This window comes from Homo sapiens, chromosome 4 (genome assembly GCF_000001405.40).
Source record: "Homo sapiens chromosome 4, GRCh38.p14 Primary Assembly".
Lineage (NCBI taxonomy): Eukaryota > Metazoa > Chordata > Mammalia > Primates > Hominidae > Homo > Homo sapiens.
Window position 1 is genome coordinate 107,377,899 of NC_000004.12, and position 24,228 is coordinate 107,402,126.

The window sequence follows — 24,228 nt, forward strand, 5'->3', positions numbered from 1 at the left end:
TTTTACTCTGTAATTTCTCATTTGCTATGTAAGTTCCATGTGAGACAGGGATTTTATCTTTGTTTTTTATTGTTGTATTCCCAGCACTTAGAACAGTGCTTGGCACATAGGTTTTCAAAACCTATTTCTTGACTGAATATGCTCCTGACAAAGAAGTCTCCAAACCGCTATGAGGTGATTATAGGGCTAGCTGTCCTCTAATAGTGACAGTATAAGCTATATTCAGTAAATTTGAGACTTTAATTTTTCTTTTGAGCTCTAGAAATAAACCAGGAACTATTCGTTCCCATATACATCAGGTGGTTTCTCTCCTTTACACCTTTCCTCAAGTTTTCCCTCTTTTAGGAATGTCCTTCTATCACCCAAACTCTTCTCTGCCTGGATAATTCCTGCTAATTCATTCAGTCTCAATGTACAATGTATCTACTACCTGAATTGCTCCCTGACACCACCTTCTGCCACCTCCCCCACTGGGAGCGTGGGCTCTGACCCCATGGCAGCGTCTAGGGTTGAGTGTTTACAGCTCTGGAAGCCCCAGTAGCCATGTGTTACATACAGTGTGCTCTTTCAGCTTAGCTGTCCACAGGCAGCTTGATTTAATTAGCTCAATTAGACCCTCTGCCTTACAGCAAGGACAGAGGCTTTCTGTATCATGGGGTCCTTACCCTAGTGTTCCAAAAAAATCAGATCACATTGGGGGCTTGGAGAATGAGTGCAAGGTTTTATTGAGTGGTAGAAGTAGCCCTCAGCAGATAGATGGGGAGACAGTAGGGGGATGGAGTGGGAAAGTGGTTCCCCCTGGAGTGGTGTCACTCAGCAGCCAGGATCTCCTCCAACCACCCTCTGCTGAATTCCCATCGGCATCCATGTTGTTCTGCCATCAGTGTACTGCCAGTGTCTGTCTGTGTGTTCTTCTGCCGGTGTGTTTCGCTTTATGTCCATCCATTTGTGTCTGTGCCTGCTAGGGTCTCGGGGTTTCTATAGACACAGGATGAAGGGCAGGGTGAGCCAGAGTGGTCTTGGAAAATGCAACATTTGGGCATGAAAACAGGAGTGCCTGTCGTCACTTAGGTCCATGGGCACAGGCCCGAGGATGGAACCCTTGCCAGGGACCCTGTGCTTCTCTGCCCAGCACTTTCCTGTCCCCTTCCCATATCAGTATCACAGCCCTGAGTTCTGGGGTGTCTTGGCCCTTAGCGTACTATCTTGAAATTGCTGGTTACTTACCTGTCTCCTCAATTAGAACATAAGCTCTTGTAGGACAGGGATTGTTTTAATGATCTTTGTATGAGTGCAACACAATGGAAACTGAATGACTAATTGAAATGAATTGAGTTTAATGCCCTTGGGACGAGCAACATCTAGTGATTCCATCAGAGGCAGGTGGTGTAGGGGGAAATGCAGGAAGTCTTAAGACCTGGACTCTAGTGCTAACTCTGACAAGGGTTAAACCCAAGACAGCTTCCAAATCTATAAGACTATAAGGCAGAAAGTATTCCATGTAACCCAATGGAAGTAGTTATTAAATAGGTTTTCATGCTCCATCTGCTGGTTAAATTCTACAAAAATCTCAAGACCTTTTTGAAATGGCAGAGTAAAGGACTTAGATATCAGCAATTCTTGCTTGTGACCAATTGTGGGATATGATGAGGTTTCTCTCCAAATAGCCTGATCAATCTTTTATTCTTTAATTCACAGTACCCCCCACCCCACCTCATTTTTCTTTTTCTCCTTTCTGCCTTTGTTACATGCCTGGACATGCCACAGTACCAGGCTTATCCATACTGCTCACATTCCTTTCCTTATTTGGAAAGAAGACTAGCTCTGTAGCTCATTGCAGACACCCCTTCCCCTTTTCCCCTCTCTCCCTTACGTGCCCACCTTATCTAAAGAAAGTTCAAATGTCTAGCCAACCGGGATTAGTTCAGATTGTGCGACCTGACCCTGGCCAGTGGGGAAAGGGTGCAAGGGCAGGACTTGCATCAGGAATAAAGGCTCTTGTGCCCCTTTGTTCAGGTGTGCTCTCATGGTGACTGGCCAAGGAGAAGCACCCCTCTGCACAGAAGTAAAATTGCTTTGCTTAGAATCCTTTGAGTGTTCAATCTCCTTAGGATTTTGAGTGTTATTCCCAACAATTCTGGTGCCCAACTTTGGGGCTTGAATATTCTACTTCGGGAAGGGGGTCTTCGGTCACCCCACCCAGGGGAGATGCATCCCACTGTCTATAGTTATGGTGGCCCAAGGGTGAGGGAGATCAGGCCCCACCCGTTGTGACGAATAAATCTGGATTCTCAGCAAAGCGGGGAGGAGATGCTTGTAAGACCGAGGCAATAAGAGGACCAGGTAATTCTTGTGCACAGAATAAGGCAGGAGACTTTGCAAAGGCGACAAAGTATTTCCTTGGTGATTGGGATAATTTGGAGGTTGAGAGTGTGTAAATGGGGCTAAGCATTATGGTTGTGTGGAGTGAGTCTTCTCTGCGGTTTTGTGCTGCCATCTATCAACTATGGGCAGGAACAATCAGAGTAGACAAAGAGAAAGAAAGATGCAAGGAACTTCCAGAGGGATGAGCTATAGGATATGCAGGAAACCCCTAATGGGAGAGGTTAAGCCTCCAGAAAGAGAGAGGTGAGACACCTCTAATACCAGAGGTTGGACTCCCTCTTAAAAGCCTCAGTAAGCCTCCAGAAAGGGGGAGGTGAGACACCTCTAACACGAGAGGTTGGACCCCTTCTTAAAAGCTGCAGTGAGCCTCCAGAAAGAGGGGGGTAGACACCTCTAACAGGAGAGGTTGTAGCCCCTCCCCACCAATAACCTCTAAGATGGGGAATGTTTCAAGTAAGACAGGAAAACTAAAGAGTCTAGAAAGTGATGAAATTACTTCTGATAGCCCCTTGGGGCTTATGCTGAAGTACTGGAAAGATAAAGAGAGAACCAAGTATAAACGAAAACAGTAGATGATAAAATGTTGTTGTTTTATTTGGGTTCGAGAACCCATCCTTAAACCCTCACATTTCTGGCCAAAATTTGGGTCTAATGAGGAGCAGATTTGTCAGCTCTTAATCGAGCGTGTTAAGGATAAGAGTCCTGTCTCCCAGGAAGAAATCGTTTACGCCCTCTGTTGGCAGCAGGGGCCTGTCCTCCTTTACTCTTTAGAATCTAGAGGGAGAAAGCCAAAAACCAACCTCTCTAGAAGGGAAAGACCGGTGTCTAGACAACCCACACCCACTAACACGTGGGTCTAGATCATCTTCCTCCATTCAGTGCCCCCGATCCCGCTCCTCTGGTTTCCGTTTCAGGTCCCTCCCCTGCTTCCTCTTCCTGCTGTCCCTGATCCCGCCCCTCCGGTTCCCATTTCAGGTACTTCCCGTGCTTGCATCCCTCTTCCAGCTTTTCCGATCCCGCTCCCCCGGTTTCTGTTCCAGGCCACTCCCCAGCCTGTGCCTTCCCTCCGGCTGTGGTTTTGGGTTACTCCCTAGCCGTTTCAGGCCACTGCCTTACTTGTGTTACTTGCCGGTGTTCTATTCCCCCAGCTGCTGCTATGGATCCCTCACCCACTTGTGGTGCCTCTACTCATATTGCTCCTCCTCCCTATAATCCCGACTTTGCGGAATAACCATCTTGTGAGCCTGCCCCCACCAACCTATTAAGTATCCCTCATTAAAGGAGCTTCAACGTGAGATAGAGCAATGTAAAAAGGATATTAAAAACTTTCCATTTCTCTCCACACCTAGAGAGCCAGATCTGACTCTTTCCACTAAGAGAGGTACCACAAGGATGGGGCGGGGGGCTATTGGCTTTGTGAACGCCCCCTTGACTAGTTCGGAAGTCAGGTATTTTAAAAAGAGCCTAAGCCACTACTGGATGACCCTTATGAAGTAGCAGATCAAACTCATCAATTTCTAGGGCCTCACATATACTCTTGGGCTGAGTTGATGTCCATCTTGGGCATCCTCTTTTCTGAGGAAGAATGAAGTATGATTCGGAGGGCTGCTATGGCACTTTGGGAACGTGAGCACCCTCCTGGTCAAAATGTTCTTTCTGTGGGCTATAAATTTCCCACTCAAGACCCCCATTGGGACAGTAACAATGCAAATCACTGGGAAAATATGCAGGACCTAAGGGAGATGATAATAAAAGGAATTCAAGAATCAGTACCCCAAACTCAAAATCTTTCTAAAGCATTTGATATTCAACAGGAAAAAGATGAGGAACCCACTGGATTCTTAAATAGATTGAGGGAGCAAACGAGACAGCATGCAGGCCTTGATTTGGAAAACCCCTCAGACAAGGAATGTGAAAACTTCACTTTGTTACTAAAAGTTGGCCAGACATTTCAAAAAAATTACAAAAGATAGAAAATTGGGAGGACCATCCCCTGAGTGAATTGCTCAGGGAGGCTCAAAAAGTATATGCAAGAAGAGACAAGGAAAAACAAAAACAAAAGACAAAACTTATGTTATCCACCTTCCAACAGATAGCTCCAAATCCGCATATCCCTAAGCAAGGCTTTCAAGGGGCCAGAGATTATAAGGGGCCTAAACCCTCCTTGAGAGGATCCAAGCCTCCATCTGGAGGGTCAAGGCCCTCATTTAATAAGCCCCCTAAGGGGTATAGGGGAGCAAGGGCAGAGAATGCTAAGACTGAGAAGGAGGAAGGACAAGATAGATATTACAGATGTGGAAGAACAGGCCACTTCAAGAGGGAATGTCCTGAACTAAAGAAAGAGAGAGAAACTTTCACACTCATGACTTTGGAAGAACAATAGGGGAGTCAGGGGCTCTGCCTCTTTTATTTTGAGCCCCACCAGGAGCCCTTGATAAATTTGGAGGTGGGACCTAAACATGAATTTATCACCTTTTTACCTGATTCAGGGACTTCATGCTCCTCTGTTTGTTTCCCTCCACCTGGTCTTACCTGCTCTTCAGAAGAACTTTTAGTCTCTGGGGTAAAAGGAGAAGGATTTAAGCCAAAAATTTTAGAATGCACAGAAGTCAGATATCAAGATCGATTTACTCATTTTCAATTTTTATTAATTACTGAAGCAGGAACTAATCTACTAGGAAGGGACTACATGCTAAGGCTAGGTATAAGGCTTCAAGTGGGTCCTAAAGGATTCCTCTCTTCACTACATTTACTTACTGCTGTGGATGAGAAATATATTCATCCTGATGTGTGGTCAAAGGAAGGAAATCAAGGGAAACTCCAAATCCCTCCAATAAATATCAAACTAAGAGGGCAGAGTAGGGCTAAAGCCTGTAATTGAGGGTCTCATTGAAGATGGGCTTCTTGAACCCTGTATGTCTTCTTGCAATACTCCAATCCTGCCTGTCAAGAAATCAGATGGGTTGTATCAATTAGTGCAAGACCTTACAGCTATTAATCAAATAGTCCAGACCACTCACCCCACTGTTTCTAACCCTTACACCATTCTTAGCAAAATTCCATACTATCATCAGTGGTTTTACAGTGACAGATTTAAAGGATGCCTTCTGGGCATGCTGCTTGGCTGAGGATAGCCGAGATATATTCGCTTTTGAGTGGGAAGACCCCCATTCAGGGTGGAGATAACAATATCAATGGACAGTCTTGCCTGAAAGGTTCACAGACTCCCCCAACCTTTTTGGTCAGATCCTAGAACAAGTGCTAGAGAAAGTCACAGTCCCTAAGCAGATATGTCTGCTTCAGTACATGGATGATCTTCTTACATCTGGTAAAGATATAAAGGAAGTAGGTGACTTCTCTATACATATTCTCAATCACTTGCAATGTGAGGGGTTGTGGATCTTAAAAGAGAAACTTCAATATATAGAACCTGAAGTTAAATACTTAGGTCACCTAATCAGTGCAGGTAAATGAAGAATAGGACCCGAAAGAGTGGAGGGAATTTTTTCCCTACCCCTGCCTCAAACTAAACAAGAACTCAGGAAATTTTTAGGACTAATTGGATATTGCCATTTATGGATTGACTCATATGCATTAAAAAGTAAACTTCTATATGAGAAACTTGCCCAGTGGAAGCCTGATTGCCTCTTGTGGGCTGCTGAGGAAATCCAGCAAATTGAGGAATTAAAAGAGATGCTCATAACCACCCCTGTTCTAGCTCTACCCTCCCTAGAAAAGCCATTTCACCTTTTTGTTAACGTAAATAATGGGGTAGCTCTAGCAGTGCTTACCCAAGAGCATGGAGTCTGTTGACAGCCCATGACCTTCTTGTCAAAGGTCTTAGACCCAGTCACTCGTGGGTGGCCCCAATGTAGCCAGTCCATCATAGCTACAGCAGTATTAGTTGAAGAAAGTAGGAAATTAACCTTTGGAGGAAAATTAACAGTAGGCACACCCCAGCAAGTTAGAACTATTTTAAATCAGAAAGCAGGAAGGTGGATCACTGACTCAAGGATTTTAAAATATGAGGCTATCCTACTGGAAAAAGATGATTTAATATTAACTACTGATAATTCACTTAATCCAGCAGGCTTTTTAACAGGGAATCCAAAATTAAAAAGAGAGCACGCCTGTTTAGATCTTATTGATTACCATACAAAAGTTTGACCAGAATTAGGAGAAACTCCCTTCAAAACAGGGTGGCACTAATATATTCATAGATGAGCCGTCCAAGGTAATTGAAGGGAAAAGACATAATGGGTATTCAGTGATTGATGGAGAAATGCTTGAAGAAGTAGAATCAGGAAGACTGCCTAACAATTGGTCTGCCCAGACATGTGAACTGTCTGCACTCAACCAAGCTTTAGAACATTTACAAAACAAAGAAGGAAGTATCTATACTGACTCTAAGAATGCCTTTGGGATGGCACACACATTTGGAAAAATTTGGATGGAGAAGGGTCTTATCAATAGTAGAGTCCAAGATTTAGTTCATGGAGAACTAATTGCCCATGTCCTTAACAGTCTCCAATTGCCAGAAGAGATAGCTATTGTGCATGTCCCAGGGCATCAAAGGGACTTGTCTTTCACAAGTCAGGGAAATAATCTCACAGATCAGATAGCAAAGCAAGTTGCCATTTCTTCTCAAACGCCTGTTTTTCATTTAACTCCATGCCTTCCTTCTCCTACTGCAACCTCCATTTTTTCTTCCATTGAACTAAAGAGAATGCAGAAGGGAAATGGATATCACCAGATCAAACGGAGATGTCAAAACCTCTCATGAGGGAGGTCTTGTGTCTATTACGTCAGGGGAACCACTGGGGACCCCAAGCAATGTGCAATGCAGTTCTCCAGGTTTATGGGTGTATAGGAATTTACACCCTGGCTAAACAAGTTGTAGATAGTTGCTTAATATGTAAAAAGACTAATAAGCAGATTCTAAGGAAATCACCCCTTGGAGGAAGGAATCCAGGGCTAAGACCATTTCAAAGTGTCCAGATTGTTTATACTGAAATGCCCCCAATTGGTCATTTAAAATACTTATTAGTAATAATAGACCACTTTACCCACTTGGTAGAGGCTATCTCATTCTCAAGTGCAACCGCCAGTAATGTAGTTAAGGTGTTAATTGAAAACATTGCACCCAGATTTGGACTAGTAGAAAATATTGATTCAGAAAATGGAACCCATTTCACTGTACATGTCATTAAGAAGTTAGCCCAGGTACTAGATATAAATTGGGAATACCATACCCCTTGACATCCATCCTCCTCAGGAGGAATAGAGTGGATGAATCAGACTCTAAAAAACTACTTAACTAAGTTAGCTTTAGAAACTCGATTGCCATGGATTAAATGTCTTCCTATTGCTTTGTTAAGAATCAAGACTGCCCCTCGGAGAGATATTGGCCTTCCCTTTATGAAACGCTTTATAGATTGCCCTACTTACACTCCAATGCTGACATCCCTACATTTGAAACAAAAGACCAGTTCCTCAAAAATTATATACTTGCTCTAGACTCTACTTTCTCTTTCCTTAAGACTAAAGGTCTCCTAGCACAGGTGCCACACCTGGAGTTTCCAGCATATCAGCATCAGCCTGGAGACTATGTCCTCATCAAAGGGTGGAAAGAAAGGAAACTCGAACCACCTTGTGAAGGACCTTGTTTTCCTAAGTACTGAGACTGCAGTCTGAGCAGTGGAAAGAGGACGGACTTATCACACCCAAGTCAAAAGGCGCCACCACCTCCAGAATCATGGACTGTCACTCCAGGGCTCACCCACACCAAACTAACTCTAAAAAGAGCTTCATAATCACTTGTTTATTTTTTTTTTCTTTTCCACATAAGGTCATCTTGTCATCAATGTAACTCAGGCTAGCCATCCTTTAACCCTTCAGCTTGACGCCTGTTCAGTCATCCCATGCGGAGATGAGCAAGCTCAAGGAAGCTATCCCATTTTGGTAAGTATCTATGTCCATACTGCAAAGAGTCAACCAAGTATAAGTATAGAGCTTTAAAAGGTCCCTGTAGTGACTGGGCAGATGTTTGGTGGACCACTAAGTACAAAGGGTGGACAGCCAAGCCCCCTGCTTCAAATAGGTTACAGGGACTAAAATGAAAACTCCAAGTAGTTCGTGGTCCCAGCCCACCAAATTGTAAGCCATTGCACTGTAACCCCTTGTTGCTGGTAATAAATAATCCCTGGACAATGGCCCAAGAACTCTCTATATTTGAACGGTATGGGTTAGGAGCAGACTTTGAAGGACAGGACCCTATAGGAATCTTCTCCATAAGGTTAGTTAAACCACTAGTTAATAATAATAAAGGAGTTCAGACCCAGAGTCCAGGAGACACATGGAACCCAACACTCTCCCCAAGTATAGCGAGTCCAATGTCTTCCTCCCATCTCCAAAATGATCCAACCAAGGTAACAGTTGCGAAAGTAGAAAACTTAAGGCAAACTATAGCTCTAGAGACAGTATATCAAGAAGCAAATGCTTGGCTGGAATGGATTAAATATTCCATCTGCACTTTAAACAAAAGTGAATGTTATGCTTGTGTGCATGGTAGACCAGAGGCCCAGAGTGTCCCCTTTCCACTTGGATGGTCTTCCAGCTGACTGGGCATGAGCTGTATGGTAGCTCTCTTCCAAAACCCCTCAGCCTGGGGCAACAAATCATGCCAAGCTCTTTCTCTGCTGTTCCCTGCTGTTCCCTGCAGGTCAGCCCCCAAGGGCCATTCAGCATCCATCTCCCAATGCCAATTTTACTTTGTGTCTCTCACGACAGGGAGAAAACTTGGCATTCCTGGGGGCCTTAACAGGATGCAGTGAGCTTAAGCCCTTCCAAGAGCTTACCCATCAGTCTGCCCTTAGCCATCCTTGAGCAGATGTGTGGTGGTATCATGGTGGACCAATACTGGACACTCTGCCAAGTAACTGGAGTGGAATTTGTACTCTAATTCAATTGGCCATCCCTTTCACCCTGGCGTTTCATCAACCAGAAAGGATAGGAACCAAACACCGTCAGACAAGGGAAACCCCTCATTGGTCCTTCAGTTCTCATGTTTATATAGATGCCACTGGGGTCCCAAGAGGAGTGCCAAATGAATTTAAGGCCCAAAGTCAAATAACTGCCAGATTTGAATCTACGTTCTTCTGGTGGTTAACTGTAAATAAAAATGTGAATTGGATAAATTACATTTACTACAATCAACAACAATTTATTAATTATACTAGAGATGTTATTAAAGGGATAGCTGAACAATTAGGACCCACCAGCCAAATGGCCTGGGAAAATAGAATAGCATTAAACGTGATACTAGCAAAGGAGGGTGGAGTTTGTGTCATGATCGGGACCCAATACTGTACTTATATCCCTAATAATACTGCTCCTGGTGGGACCATAACTAAAGCATTACAAGGTCTTACTGCCTTATCAAGGGAGCTAGCCAAAAATTCTGGACTAAAAGATCCCTTCACAAATTTAATGGGAAATTGGTTCGGTAGATGAAAGGGATTTATGTCCTCAATCCTCATCTCTCTGGCCATCAGAATAGGGTTGCTTATTCTTGTAGGATGCTGTATTATACCCTGTGCCTGAGGATTAATACAAAGACTTATTGAAACAGCTCTCACTAAAACCTCTTATGATCCTCCTCCCCCTCATTCAAATGAGCTTTTCCTTCTAGAAGACCAAGTAGAACAATGGAGCCAAATTATGCTAAAAAGATTTGTAGAGAAAGAGTTATAAAAAGAAGAAGGGGAAAGCTGTGGGATATGGTGCGGTTTCTCTTCAAATAGCCTGATCGATCATTTATTCTTTAATACATAGTGCCCCCCCCCAACCCCATTTTCCTTTTTCTCTTTTTCTCCTTTCTGCCTTTGCTACATGCCCGGGGACGTCACAGTACCAGGCTTATCAGTACCAGCTCACATTCCTTTCCTTTTTTGGAAAGAAGACTAGCTCTCTAGCTCATTGCAGACACCCCTTCCCCTTTTCCCCTCTCTCCCTTACGTGCCCACCTTATCTAAAGAAAGTTCAAATGTCTAGCCAACGGGGATTAGTTCAGATTATGTGACCCGGCCACAGCCAATGGGGAAAGGGTACAGGGGCAGGACTTGCATCAGGAATAAAGGCTCTTGTGCCTCTTTGTTCAGGTGTGCTCTCATGGCGACTGGGCAAGGAGAAGCACCCCTCTGTGCAGAAGTAAAATTGCTTTGCTAAGAATCCTTTGTTTGAGTGTTCAATCTCCTTAGGATTTTGAGCATTATTCCCAACACCAATGAAGAAAAGAGTTTTAAAAATAATGTTCGTAAAGGATTAATGACCTGGAAAATAGATAGTTGGGAAAGAAAATAAACATTGACAAGCACATGTCTGTAGTGAAAAAGCACACCCTGCTACTTTCACCCCACATACAAACTGTGGATGCCAGCTCAGACCCACCTGCTGGGATTCACACCCTTGTGTAGTTCTCCCCACACGTAGCAGGGTTTTTTTGTATGAACAACAGCATACAGCAAAAGTGATGGTCCTGTCACTTCTCAGATTAGGGTATAAGAAACTGCAGCTTTCATCTTAAGTGTGTGCTTGTGCTCTCTCTCTCACTCTCTCTCATTTCATTTGCATAGGGGAGCCAACTGCCATGTCATAAGGACACTCAGGCAGTCCAGGAAGAGACCCACAGGGTTAAAAAAAAATACCATTTCTGACCAACAGCCAGGGCTTGGAATCAGATCCTCCCCTATTTGAATCTTCAGGGTAGCATGACTGTAGCTCAGGCTAACAGCTTCCTCTGACGAGAGACTGAGCCAAATCCACGCAGATCCTTCACACCCAACTCCTGCCCCATAGAAAGTGAGATAATCTGTGTTTGCTGTTTTAAGCTCTTAGGTTTCAGAGTTATTTGCTATATAGCAATAGATAACTAATACACATTCAGACACATACATCTAGGATTAACTCAAATATTTATTGACCACCTATGTATTCAATGATTGTAGCAAGATTTTTTTACCTAAAATTGTCCATATCATCTTCCTCAAGAATGTTAATTGCTTTTCCCATATATTTGGTGTTTTGCATGCATCATCTGTTTTCTGATAAACCCGTTTAACTGGAATAAGAACTCAGAAATAGACTTAAAGAGCGTGTATATATTCTGAAGAGTTTTTACTAACATTATCTGAGAGAAAATTATAGGCCTTAAAAAAGCATGGTTTGTTACAAATAAGTGATAGTTATAAGCCTCAGTGGACATCACAACGAACAGTGATTTTTGTGTTTTCTTAAAACTCTGGATGAACCATTAGAAAAATTCATCAATTCTGTAGTCATTTTTTTACAAGTCTTACATTTTGCCAATAAATAGATAACTATTTATGAACTTTTACTTTTCCTTTTCTTTTTTGCTGTAAAGAGACTGGACCACGGATGGTATGTAGATGAAGAAGATGCAATAGTGAAAAGTGTCACATATAGTTGATTCTATGAAATACTGCCAAGGAATGGTTGCTATGTTTTCTCACAGCTTTTTACAAAAAACGTGCAAGATAGAATTTTCTACTGAGATTTGAATTTAATCCTTAAAGCCTTAAAAACTTTCAAATAGAACTAAAAATCAACTCATCTTGGCTTAACTAAAAGTTTGAGGAGCACATAATATAGATTCTATATCTAGTTGGTGACTTTTAATGAATTAAAATGTGAAGAGACCATAAAAGCAAACAAAATTTCTTTGCCATCATCCAACATCTTACAAAGTCATGAAAACAAAGTTCTTCTGAGACAGGGAAAGGGTAAGCAAATTATTTTTCAAGTGTCTAACTCATCATTCAAATGTTTGGCAGCACCTTTCACTTATTGCAAAATTTGACTGGACCATTAAGCAAAGAGATATTTGTCCAATGGGGACCATCTGTTGGAAAGAGGAGAAAGAAAAGCAAGAACAGAGACACCACTAGAGATAGTAGAACAGTCATGTCCTTTGAGAAGTTCTTTTTGACTTTCTCACAGGGTCTTGATGTTCTCTTGTTCTGGAAAGCCTCACTACCTGCCTGCTCCCCAACCAGCTGTAAGCAGCTCATTCTATCATGTTTACTGTTAAGACTAAGTAAATAAAGGTCAATTTTCCAGCCCTCATAACCCAGTGGGTCAGACTTTAAAACTGTATGAATTCTATTTCTACAGGCCTAATAAATTTAGAGAATCATAAGATCCCCTGCAAAATACCTAAAAAATTGACTCTACACTTCCAGGAGCCTTTGTTTCTAAATTCTGTGTATGCAGTACTTGAGGGCAGAAAAGTAGACTTATCTGCTTTGTAATGACAAATCTACCTGATCTTAATTTGGGATAATAGGCTGCTTACAATTGTCTTTCTTATTATAAGCTATGTATCATCTCTTATTTCTTTAGCTTGTTTTTGCTCTTACTTTTTTAAAGTTATAATTCCCATGACCTTGGTAATGAGGAATGGGAGGATGAGGGGTTACTGCAGTAGAGTTTAAAATGCTAAGCTTTAAGATGTTAGGCCATAATATCCTTTGTGACAATACCGTGGGATGGCTTGCTGCCTTCAGATCCACATTTAGAACACTATTGAAGTACATAGAATTAGACCACCTATTTAAGAATAAATTAGTTTCTTCTACTATAGAATATGTCTATCAAAGAGGTTTATCTGGCCGAAACACCACATAAATGAAGATTTGATGAATACCAAGACAGCAAATAATAGATCATCCATTATCATATGCAAATACTAAAAGAAATGAAACCTCAAAACACCCAACCTAGTGCTTACCTAACACATGTTTATACTAAGCTTGTCACCACTGAGAAATACCTAAAGATCAAATCTTCAGCTCCTGGCAGTACTCAGCATGGTACCTTGTACATAATAGGTGCTCAATAGGTATTTGTGGAAGACGGGAGAGGGAGGGAGGGAAGGAGGGAGGGAGGGAGGAAGGAAGAAATGGAAGGAAGGAAGGAAGGAAGGAAGGAAGGAAGGAAGGAAGGAAGAGTTGGCAGCAAGGCACAATGCAGCTAACAACCACATAATACAACTAAAAGACAACTGATTCTATTAAGCTATTCAGTCCACCAGGCTCTATAAGGATTTATCGCCCCTCCCTCCTCCACCCCCAGGGATCTATAGAGGTCAATACAATGTGAATTTACTTAACTCTAAGACACACTGTCCCAGAACTATTTCACTTTTCAAAGTAAGTAATTATTCATTCCCTTATGTGGTGGAAGAGAGGTAAAGATGGGGGAATAAAAAGACAGGGCAAGGCTCATTTATTGACAAAGAAATACAGAGTCTCCTGTATTCTCTCACCTCAAATGCCTCCCAACTTTAGGCCAATCCTACAGGCAAAGGAGGTGGGAGCAAATGAGTTAGCTTGGTCACTTTTGGTGATTGTCAAAAAAAAAAAAAAAAAAAAAACCCTAAATATTTTCCCCAAATGTTTTGCAATCAGTAATACCCAACCACAACGTGCCAAGCCTTTTTTCTCTTAGTTCTTCAAACCCATGTGTATTCCAAGGCAAATGTAATCCATGTGTCTCTGATTTGTTTTCACTTAAATCATTATAAAAAGTTAAGCTTTTTCAAAGAATGTTCAACATCTCTTTTGTGTGTTCCTCATGATCCTCCTTTAGGATTCTAGTTAAGAAGGTAGCGTTTCGAAGAGATATGCAGACAGAACCCTGAATAATTGATCAGAACTTGGGACTTACCAATCTGTGCATGGATTTTTGTCTCTATGCAGGAAAACATGAATTTGTTCAAACACTGAGAATCAAAGGACAAGTAGAGTTCTTATAGAAAATTCACTAAATTGACCTATTTATTTACAATACCTTTTAGAGCTCTATAATTAGGCCTGGCTAATTTGGACTCCTCTTCGGGTACCTCTTTTAGACTACTCCAGTAAGGTACTTGAAGTAGTGCATGTAAGAAAAAACTTTCTTGGGGATATCTAGGAAAATGTAAAAGATGAGCAAGCAACTCAGGCACTAGAAGCATTAAGTTCATGATTTCTTTAGACAATGTTCTTTAATATGGTACAAGATAAGCACTCATCACATATGATAGCTTGCCTTATCATAACAATATAGTGAACTAAAGACTCTAAAGCCACGAGAAGCTCACTGTGAAGCTAAATTCATTAGGTTTCAGGGTGTGGACTTTGTTCCTCTAAATTAGGACCATTCTAAGCTAATTAGGGAAAGATATAGCCTGCCTTCTGCCATTCTCATTTTCTACTGCAGGCTCCTCTCAGTGGTGGTGGTGTGCTATGGGAAAGGGATACCTTCACAGTGAGTCTACGTGTTTAAAATAAATACTTATAAAAAGTATTGGAAAAGTTTATATTTCTTGTTCCAAATAGAGAATAACAAAGTAATAAAGCAAAACCTTTTTGACCGCATCTGCAGTTTAAAAAACAAAACAAAGAAACAAAAATAAAAAAGCTTAAAAGCTATTGCCTTGAAATCACCCAGAAAGGAGGCCAGCTCCTTCAAAGTGAAAGTGAACAAAGTGAACCTGACATTTGAGGAATAAGCACAGAACAAACAAACCAACAAAAAAGTAGGAGAAATGTGCTTCATCAGTGCTTATTTGCTCTAGTTTGTCATTTTATGCTCTCAACAATCCAGTACATTTATTCCATGGATCTAATCTCAAGTTGTGGCAGTCCCACTTTTATAAGGTAGCAACCTGACCTTTCTTTCCCTCCCTAGTCTGTGAGGATGTGGCACGTGAGCTCAGAAAGCCACAGTACAACCCAAGCAATGGCTACCCAGGAAGAGACACAGTGGGAGGATCTGCTGCACAGATCAGCAACCATCTGGATCGAGTCACTGGATGCTGGCATCTGATGCAAGGAGGAAGCTGCAGAGACATCTGGGACACCCTGTCATAAACCTAGTTTCTGACCCAGACTTGCAACACTGGACTCATTTCACTGGGGAAAAGGAAGGTCTTGATTTATTTTCAATTATGTTTATCCCTATCAGGAAAAGCCTCAGATACCCTTTTGCTTCTTTGGAGAAGCCCACAATTATGAGCCATAAAAGGCAAGTTATTTGTAATAAAACAAGACAGCACCACATATACCAGGGTTATTTGCCATTGCTGGATGTGGTTCAGATAAGGTCTAGCCAAATGTCCGGCTTAGTCTAGATACAGCCTGAAAGAAAACATTATTTTATTTGAACTTGACTATCATTTTGCCCTTGAAATTAAAGAAACTCAAATTCTATGGTCAGGAAATTGATTTTAACAAGACAAAATCTGTGTCCTTTAAAAAAAATGGAAAAGAACTCACAAAAGCCTATTCATGATTACTTGCACTAGCATCCTTTTTTTTTCTTAATGAAATTGATGCCTCTTCTAGTAAGCCTTGGTTCCAAGGATGTTCTTCAACTTTCCTTTTCTTCTCAGAGCTCTTTGTTCTTACAGCATGCCCATTGCCATTACTTCTCCCCATTCTATAGCGATTCATGCTGATTAACAGCAAATATATCAACAGATTCAGACTTGAACATCTTGTATCCACTCCTTAAGAAATTCATTTGTTCTCTTAGTTTTTTGGTATTATACCAGATCTATATTTCCAGAACCATGATTATTTTATCTCCAGTTTTATGGTTATCACTGATCCTTGTCAGTTATCACTGACATCACATTCTCATGCATACCTAAAAATTCAGTTAAATGGGCTGAACTCAATGGGGTGCAGTCAGAAAACAGTTTTATTTTTCTGCACTACCATTTTTGATTGCTCTCTGTAGAGGCACTTCAGACAAAGGAAGCAATACAGAGCAGTGGTGAAAAGTCCAGATTCAGGAGAAGTAAATCAGTCTCAATCTCAGCTCTGACAACACACACACACACACACACATACACATACACACACACAGGGATAGTTTACTCTTAAATAACATGAAGGTTAACAGTGCTGACCCCTCACACAAATAAAATTCCACATAGAAGTTTGACTCCTCGGAAATTTAACTACTAATAGCCTACAGTTGACGGGAAGTCTTATCAATAACATTAACAGTCAATTGACACATATTTTGTATATGTATTAAATACTATATTCTTAACAATAGAGAACATATTTTTAAGAAAAGCATAAGAAAGAGAAAATAGATTTACTATCCATTAAATGCAAGTGGATCATCATAAAGGCCTTCATCCTTGTCATCTTCACATTGAGTAGGCTGAGGAGGAGGAAGAGGAGGGGTTGGTCTTGCTGTTTTAGGGGTAGCAGAGGTGGAGGAAAATCTGCATATAAGTGAATCTGTGTAGTTCAAATCCATGTTGTTCAAGGGTCAACTATATACATATATAATTGGTTAATACATATGAATAGAATAATATATATACACAACATATATGAATAGAATATATATCAATACATAGATACATATCAATAATATACATGAACAGAATAATATATGTAATTTAAAATATATTAAATTATATTCCTTTGTCACTGATCAATTTCTAGTCTTTTTTTTACATAGCATGGAAATGGATGATGAGCTAACATTTGTACATACATGAGTATGGTTCAGAAGCTTTTTCTAAAATGTGGGGGTAGTCATCAAATACTGTCCTCAGGTCAGAACTTCAGATGAACTTCCAAGACAACAAAAAAGTCCCATCTATGGCTGGGTTTGGTGGCTCATGCCTGTAATTCCAGCACTTTGGGAGGCTGAGGTGGGTGGATCGTTAGAGCTCAGGAGTTCAAGACCAGCCTGAGCAACATGGCAAAACCCCTTCTCCACCAAAAATACAAAAAATTAGCTGGGTGTGGTGGGGCACACCTGTGGTCCTAGTTACTTGAGAGGCTGGGGTGAGAGTATCGCTTGAGCCTGTGAGGCAGAGGTTGCAGTGAGCTGAGTTTGCATCACTGCACTCCACCCTGGGTGACAGAGCGAGACCCTATCTCAATTAAAAAAAAAAAAAGAAAGAAAGTCCCATTTTACCCTGCTATATATTTATATATACATTAAACACCTAATAGAAAGCTTTAGGCATAGGAGGTACAAGACCTTGGTCCTCCAAGGATTCCATTTCTGATGGTTTGGCATCACTATCAAGGCTACAGGACACATAACGACTCCCCTCATATCATCATTATTCGGCCTCATATTTAAAAATGGGGCTGAAGTGAAGATGCTATTTGCTTAGTCTTCTATGTCTCACAGTGGCCTAAAGACCATAAAGCAACACAGCTTGAGCTTTCTACTTCAGCAATATAAATTAGAAACCTGAGGCCAGAGACATGACCAACTTTGGATAAAAGCTATTTCCAGGGTTTAGATAATTTGGTTGTAAAAGAACACAATAATAAAAAAATGCTTTATTATATAACGTATGATTTGTAGTTTATGAAATAAGATAAAATAGATTTAAATATATATTATTTATTTAATATAAACGAGACTGTATAGTTGTTAATTTCATGTGTCAACTAGGCCACGGGATGACCAGAGTATGAGTACGCTTCTGAATAAGATAAGTATTTGAATCCATGAACTCAGTAAAATAGTGATGTTGGCAGGCACCGTCCAATCTATTAAGGGAACAAAAATAGAACATATTGGAGGAAACAATGCTTTGTCTCCTCCCTGCCTGCCTGAGCTGAGACATCATTCTTTTTTTTTCTTTTCTTTTTTTTTTTTTTTTTTTGAGACGGAGTTTCACTCTTGTTGCCCAGGCTGGGGTGCAACAGCACCATCTTGGCTCACTACCTCCTGGGTTCAAGTGATTCTCCTGCCTCAGCCTCCCGAGTAGCTGGGATTACAGGCACCCACCACCACTCCCAGCTAATTTTTTAAATATTTTTAGTAGATATGGGTTTTCACCTTGTTAGCCAGGCTGGTCATGAACTCCTAACCTCAGGTGATCCACCCAGCTTGGCCTCTCAAAGTGCTGGGATTACAGGTGTGAGCCACCGTGCCTGTCCAGGACTCTCTTTCAAGTAGTAAAGAGAGCATGGATAGTTCATGGTACAGTCTGGCAACAGAGATATGTAAAATATTGATATCGGATACTCGTTGTCAACTACTTATATGAAGCAAGAAGCTGGATGACTCTATATGTGATACTTTCTAACATTTTTAGAAAACAAATGAATATAATGACATTGGCTGGTTGGTTCTAATGTTGCTGGAAAAAGTGACGCAAGTAAAAGATGCACTCAAGGGTTCAAATTCCCAGCTCTGGTGCCTCATAAATAACCTAAGAGCTTCTTTCTGTGTCCTGAGGGAGACCTCTATCTCCTATAATGCAGGGCTGAAATTGCTGAAAATCAAACACAGAATCTCTTCCAATAACTGGCTAAATTTCAACACGAGTTAATTTCCAGCCTCTCAGGGAGTCTATGTTAAAGTCAAGGTACTGAAAAGGAAAGAATGGCATCTTGTAAGTTGGGATGGGGATATGTGGGAAGATCCAGGTGAAATGGGGGACATTGAGCCCCTAAATTCTGACGAGTCTTCTTTGTCAGTAGAAGCAGCCTCCCCATTCCCAGCAGAACTGGCATCTCCACCCTCATCAGAAATGGCCTACCCAAACCCAGTGGAAGTGATCACTCCACCCCCAATGGCAGTGGTATCCCCAGTCACAGTGGTATTGGCCTTTCTACCTCTGTCTGAGAGAATTAACCCTGCATTGCCTGAGGAAACAGTAATTACCTCCTTTGAGGCAACTGCCATGCAAGACAATACTGAACCTTCTCGGGACTCACCCTCACCACCCCCCTTTAATTCTAGACCTACAACTAAACTTATGTCCCTAAAATTGAGAAGCAATGCATGACCCATGTAGAGGTGCACTACCCTCCAAAATTCTCTTCAATCATAGAATCTGAGATCTCAGGTGATGCTTAGTCTTCTGCAATCAAGTCTATAAATGACTATGTATGGTTCAATGTCCAACTGACTAAAATGACATTTCTTTTCCCCACTTGTACTCAATATTCAATATGTTCAGTGGTGGAACAAGGATGGATAACTTCAATAAACACCTTCATTCAGAAAGAGGAAGAATGAGTGGTATGTGGTTGTCACTAGGGAAACATTGTGCTGGCCCCTGCTCTGGGGTCAGGGAGGAGGGGTGTTTTCTTGATCTAACTCTGATTCTGTTGTGATTGAGGAACTCCTTCATCCACAGTTCTCCTTGGCCCTTGAGGAGGATATCTATCTAAAGTAGGTATTGAGGAACACGCCCTCTATGAAGGCTCTTAAATCTTTGAAGCTGCATTCTACACATGAAAATTTGGAGCTCCAATGTTTGCATTGATTCCATCAATCAAAGACTTTCTAAACTAATGTTGTGTTTTTTGAGGGGAAATCAATTGCCTTAAATACTCAGTGAACTTCTAATTTTTTTCTTCTAGTCAGTTCCATGTTCTGTGAGCCAGTAACCACACTGAAATTGTTTCCTAGACACAGTAAGAAATGGCATTTTAAAAGATTTTGAAGAATAAATCCCAGTAAAAGGTCTTTATTTAATGAAATGACTCAGGAGAAATCAAATTAAGGGTGTGGTCCTCCCATTCAAGCCAGTTAAGTTCAAGGTAGCCAACATTAAGTTGAAAGAGAGAGGTGTAGAGAGAAGAAATCAAATAAATAAGGCCAACATGAGATTTAATTAACTCCAGCTGCCTTAACAAAAGTTTTTTTTGCCTAAAATAGCTCCCTCTCTTTCTTCCAACTTGTTTTGTAGGAGTACCCTTCTCAACACGCTTGCCAAACACACAATTGTTAGTTGTTTGTTTGTTTCTCACATGGTAAGAACCCATTTATGCCTAGTGTTCCATTACTGGAACCCTAAGCATGTGGGAGTTATTTACATCCTACTGCTCAAGGTCATCGCCAAAGTCTGATTAAAAAAATTCAAAAAATTACAACCTCAAGTATAAATGGGTTAAATACACATCGGCTAATCAAATATGTCAGAAGTAGCAACTTTGAGAGCCTTTTGTTTTGTTTTATCATGGTTGAAAGTTGGCTGCCACAAATCTAAGAACATCTATACTCATGGAAGGAATGGGCAGAAGATGTGATATCAGCCATATGTTCCTTTTATCTGGAAGTCATTCAACATTACCATCCAGTATGTACTACTTTGCCTGTGCTCTCTTTACAGGTTTGAGTTGGGCAAACTGTTAAATGTCTAAGCTTGAAAGAAGTAAGCCCTATTAATTAAAATATCACAATCAGAGTAAAAGATGCATAATATTTAATATTAAAACAAATCTTGTAGTGTTGTAAAAAATGAAAAATTGGGAACATTAAACAAATTGCCTTACCTTGCAATATGGAATAAGGCAAATAATTTGTAACTTGGAAAAAAATCTTGGACAAACTAATTTCTTTCTAAATCTTCTATGAGTTCTTCAAATGTCAGCTCAGGCAGACAGGCAGGAGGGGACAAAATATTCCTTCCTCTGATATGTTCTATTTTTGTTCCCTCCATAGATTGGGTGGTGCCCACCAACATCACTACTAAGTCCTTGGATTCAAATGTTTATGTTATTCAGAAGTACACTCACAGACACATCCAGAAATTATGTTTACTCTGGTCATCCCATGGCCTAGTTAAATCATGAGAAGACCTGAAGGAGAAGGGAGGAGGAGAAAGCTTTCCAAGCAGAGGCAACAGCTGGTACAAATGCACTGGGCAGAAACGTGTTAGGCTTATTGAAGGAATGGAAAGGCCAATGTGGCTAAAACAGAGTGAACAAGGCAGAAAATGCCAAAAGATGATCGGAACAGTAGGTAGAGTCCAGAAAAATTATGCAGTGGCCTTGTACACCACAGGAAGAACTTTGAGCTTTGAAAGATGGAAGCCATTGGAGAGTTATAATCATAACCATAGTGCTGTCTTTAATTGGCCTAAAGAATGGACTCTTGGAATAACTTACAAACTTAGGGGCTAAGAAACTATGTCAAGGATTACCTCGATTCATATGAATGAAAGGTTACACTGATACCAGCTAAGGAAAGCATGCCATGATGGAGGCCTGGAACACATACAAAACTCAGCTTTTCTAACCACTGCAGTAACTGTAGCAACATCAGGCAAATGCTAAGGTAAGCAAAACACAATAAAAAGAGATTAAAGGAAGAAGCCAAACATGCCAGTTCTACATTACCAATAACAATTGTTATGTACATTTTAGTATATCACAGCCTACAAAGAACCCATGTTATCTCACTTGATCCTTTACAGTCTCCCAGTGAGGAAAGCTAAGAAGAGATTATCCCCATCTTACAGATGAATCAAGATTCAAGGCCACACAACCAAGGGTAAAATGCAGATCTTCTGATTGTAGTCCCTTGTTCCTCTTATTAAATCATATTACATAACCAAATCCTAAATAAACTACTCCCAAAACATATGGAAAGTTACAGCACATGTGGAAAGTTATTTAGGAACTCACTGGAGGCAACTCACTAAAAAGCCTTATATTCATCTTCATGGGGCACCAAGTAGGGTTATGGTGTTTTGTGATTCAGGAATGAACATGCCCTTCAGAAGGGGATATGACAAATCTTGACCACCTGGCTTCATAAGGTTTCTGACCTCAACAGATATGAAAGAAAGAATTCCACATCACTTTACTGCACAAATTTGATCTTAGAACTGCAACTTAAATTTCAAAAGCAGTCTCTTTACTTATTCATCCAGCAAAGTTTTTAATGGATTGTCTTGCGATTCTTGGGAAACTTGGGAAATAACTATTGACAAACACTGCTGACAATAACTCTCCTGTTATTCTTGTGTGTTCTCCATTTTCTTTTACATTTTCCTCAACAGAATGGAACTATATGAGCAATAACCTTAAAATTATCAAAATAATAGACCTGTAGGAAACAAATATATCCACTGCATTTATATATAACTGAATATTGTACATAAAAGTTTATAAAGAAAATGCCAGAAACACACAGAAAATAGCTTCATTGAATCAGCAGAGCCTTTATCATAGATTATAATAACCCCTTCCTAGAATGCTCAGGTTATTTATAAGGAAGGCAATTCCTAGGACAGTTTTTTCTCTGAAAAACTATTTATTTAGTAGCTACATCTTGGCAATGAGGTGCTTTGAAATGCTGAGAGTACAAACTTTCCACACACTTGAATATATTCAATCAACTATTTAGTCATAATAATATGTTGTGAGAGAATTTATATTCTATATAGGTATAAATTTATTATGTGTGTTTAAAGCAATAAATCTTAAAATAATTGTTTTGTATTTTATGACAGATTATTTGATTCATAACCTGATAACCTAGTGTAAAAATTTCAGTTTATGAATCATTGAGTTACCTTAATAATATATTCTTCAGAGTTCAGAGATACAAAGCTACAAAAATGTATTTGGATTTCTCTATAACAAATTTTGCTTCCCTAGTGGTATTTAACCAGCCTCTGTGGAATTCACAAAATGACACGCCCATCAAATTTTTAAATTATATCCAGAAGAGCATTATGCTTGTATTATCCCTGTAGACTAGTTGCTTTTGACATGATTCAACTTGTTTTGTTTTTCTAGTGTTGAAAGGAGTGGAAAAATTGATCCGTTTAATGAACATTTCTGAAAAACATTAACACACAACAAGTGAAAAGGGACATGCTTTTAAAAGTTGAGAAGAAACAAAGCCAGCTGTTAGTGGGGGAAAATGAGTCTATTAAAAAATATGAACACAGTTTTCTTTTCACCATAGCCTTAAAGACCACTCATGTTTCCAATCTAAGTAAGCAATAAAGGCCGCTTTGGAAAATATCTGTTCAGCAACAGCACTGATTTGAAAAATTAAGGAAATAACCTCCTGTAAAAGGGAATATAAGGAGAGTAACTAACCACATTAATAATAATTATTATCACCACCTAGAAGTCTGATGTGTAAGGTACCATGTGCATGCTGCAAATTAGGTCACACAACAACTGGTAGGTCACCAGCAGCAAGCACAGTTAAGAGACCTGGTGGGAAAAACAAACAAACCAACACCTTCGAGCTCAACACATTTGACTTTTCCCAGATGTACCACTAATTAACAGAGACTGAGACCTCCATTTATCAACTCAAAAATGGAAAAGGCAACACTAGGTGACTCCTATGGTGCTTTATCACTCATTCTACATCATAAGAAAATACACACAGAAGGCTGGGTGCGGTGGCTCACGCCTATAATTCCAGCACTTTGGGAAGCCGAGGTGGATGGATCGCCTGAGGTCAAGAGTTCAAGACCAGACTGGCCAACATGGTGAAACCCCGTCTCTACAAAAATACAAAAATTAGCCAGGCATGATGGCAAGTGCCTGTAATCCCAGCTACTCAGGAGGCTTAGGCAGGAGAATCACTTGAATCAGGGATGTAGTGAGCTGAGATGGCACCATTGCACTCTCCAGCCTGGGCAAAAGAGCGAGACTCCATCTCAAAAAAAAAAAAAAAGAAAAGAAAAAGAAAAAGAAAAAGAAAAGAAAAGACACACAAAAGTAAGAATAAGGACAAAATAGTGAGATACCAATTATCACAGGTAATAATTTGAAGAAATTTTTAGTTAAAAGTTAGCAAATTTCCCAGTTCCTAGCAATGCTATACCCCTACTTTATGCCTCATCTCACAATTCTTATGAAATCATTAACATTTAAGTCCCTATTTCTTTCTAGCCATGACTATTTTATCACCAGAAAATTTGTTCCCCCTCACTAGAGTATCCAAAAACATGCTGCATTATCACCTAGCTAAGCTTTGGCAGAGGATTTGTACATCAGTAGGTAGGTGCTGGTACCTTCTGTG

The 24,228-nt window shown here is 40.4% G+C and overlaps 1 annotated feature.

The window, feature by feature from the left end:
- Positions 1,406-1,987: an enhancer, noted in NCBI's record as "H3K27ac hESC enhancer chr4:108300461-108301042 (GRCh37/hg19 assembly coordinates)". NCBI's record gives its function as "activates a minimal SCP1, AML or CMV promoter by ChIP-STARR-seq in primed H9 embryonic stem cells {active_cell/tissue: H9 hESC(primed)}" and the evidence as "EXISTENCE:reporter gene assay evidence [ECO:0000049][PMID:30033119]".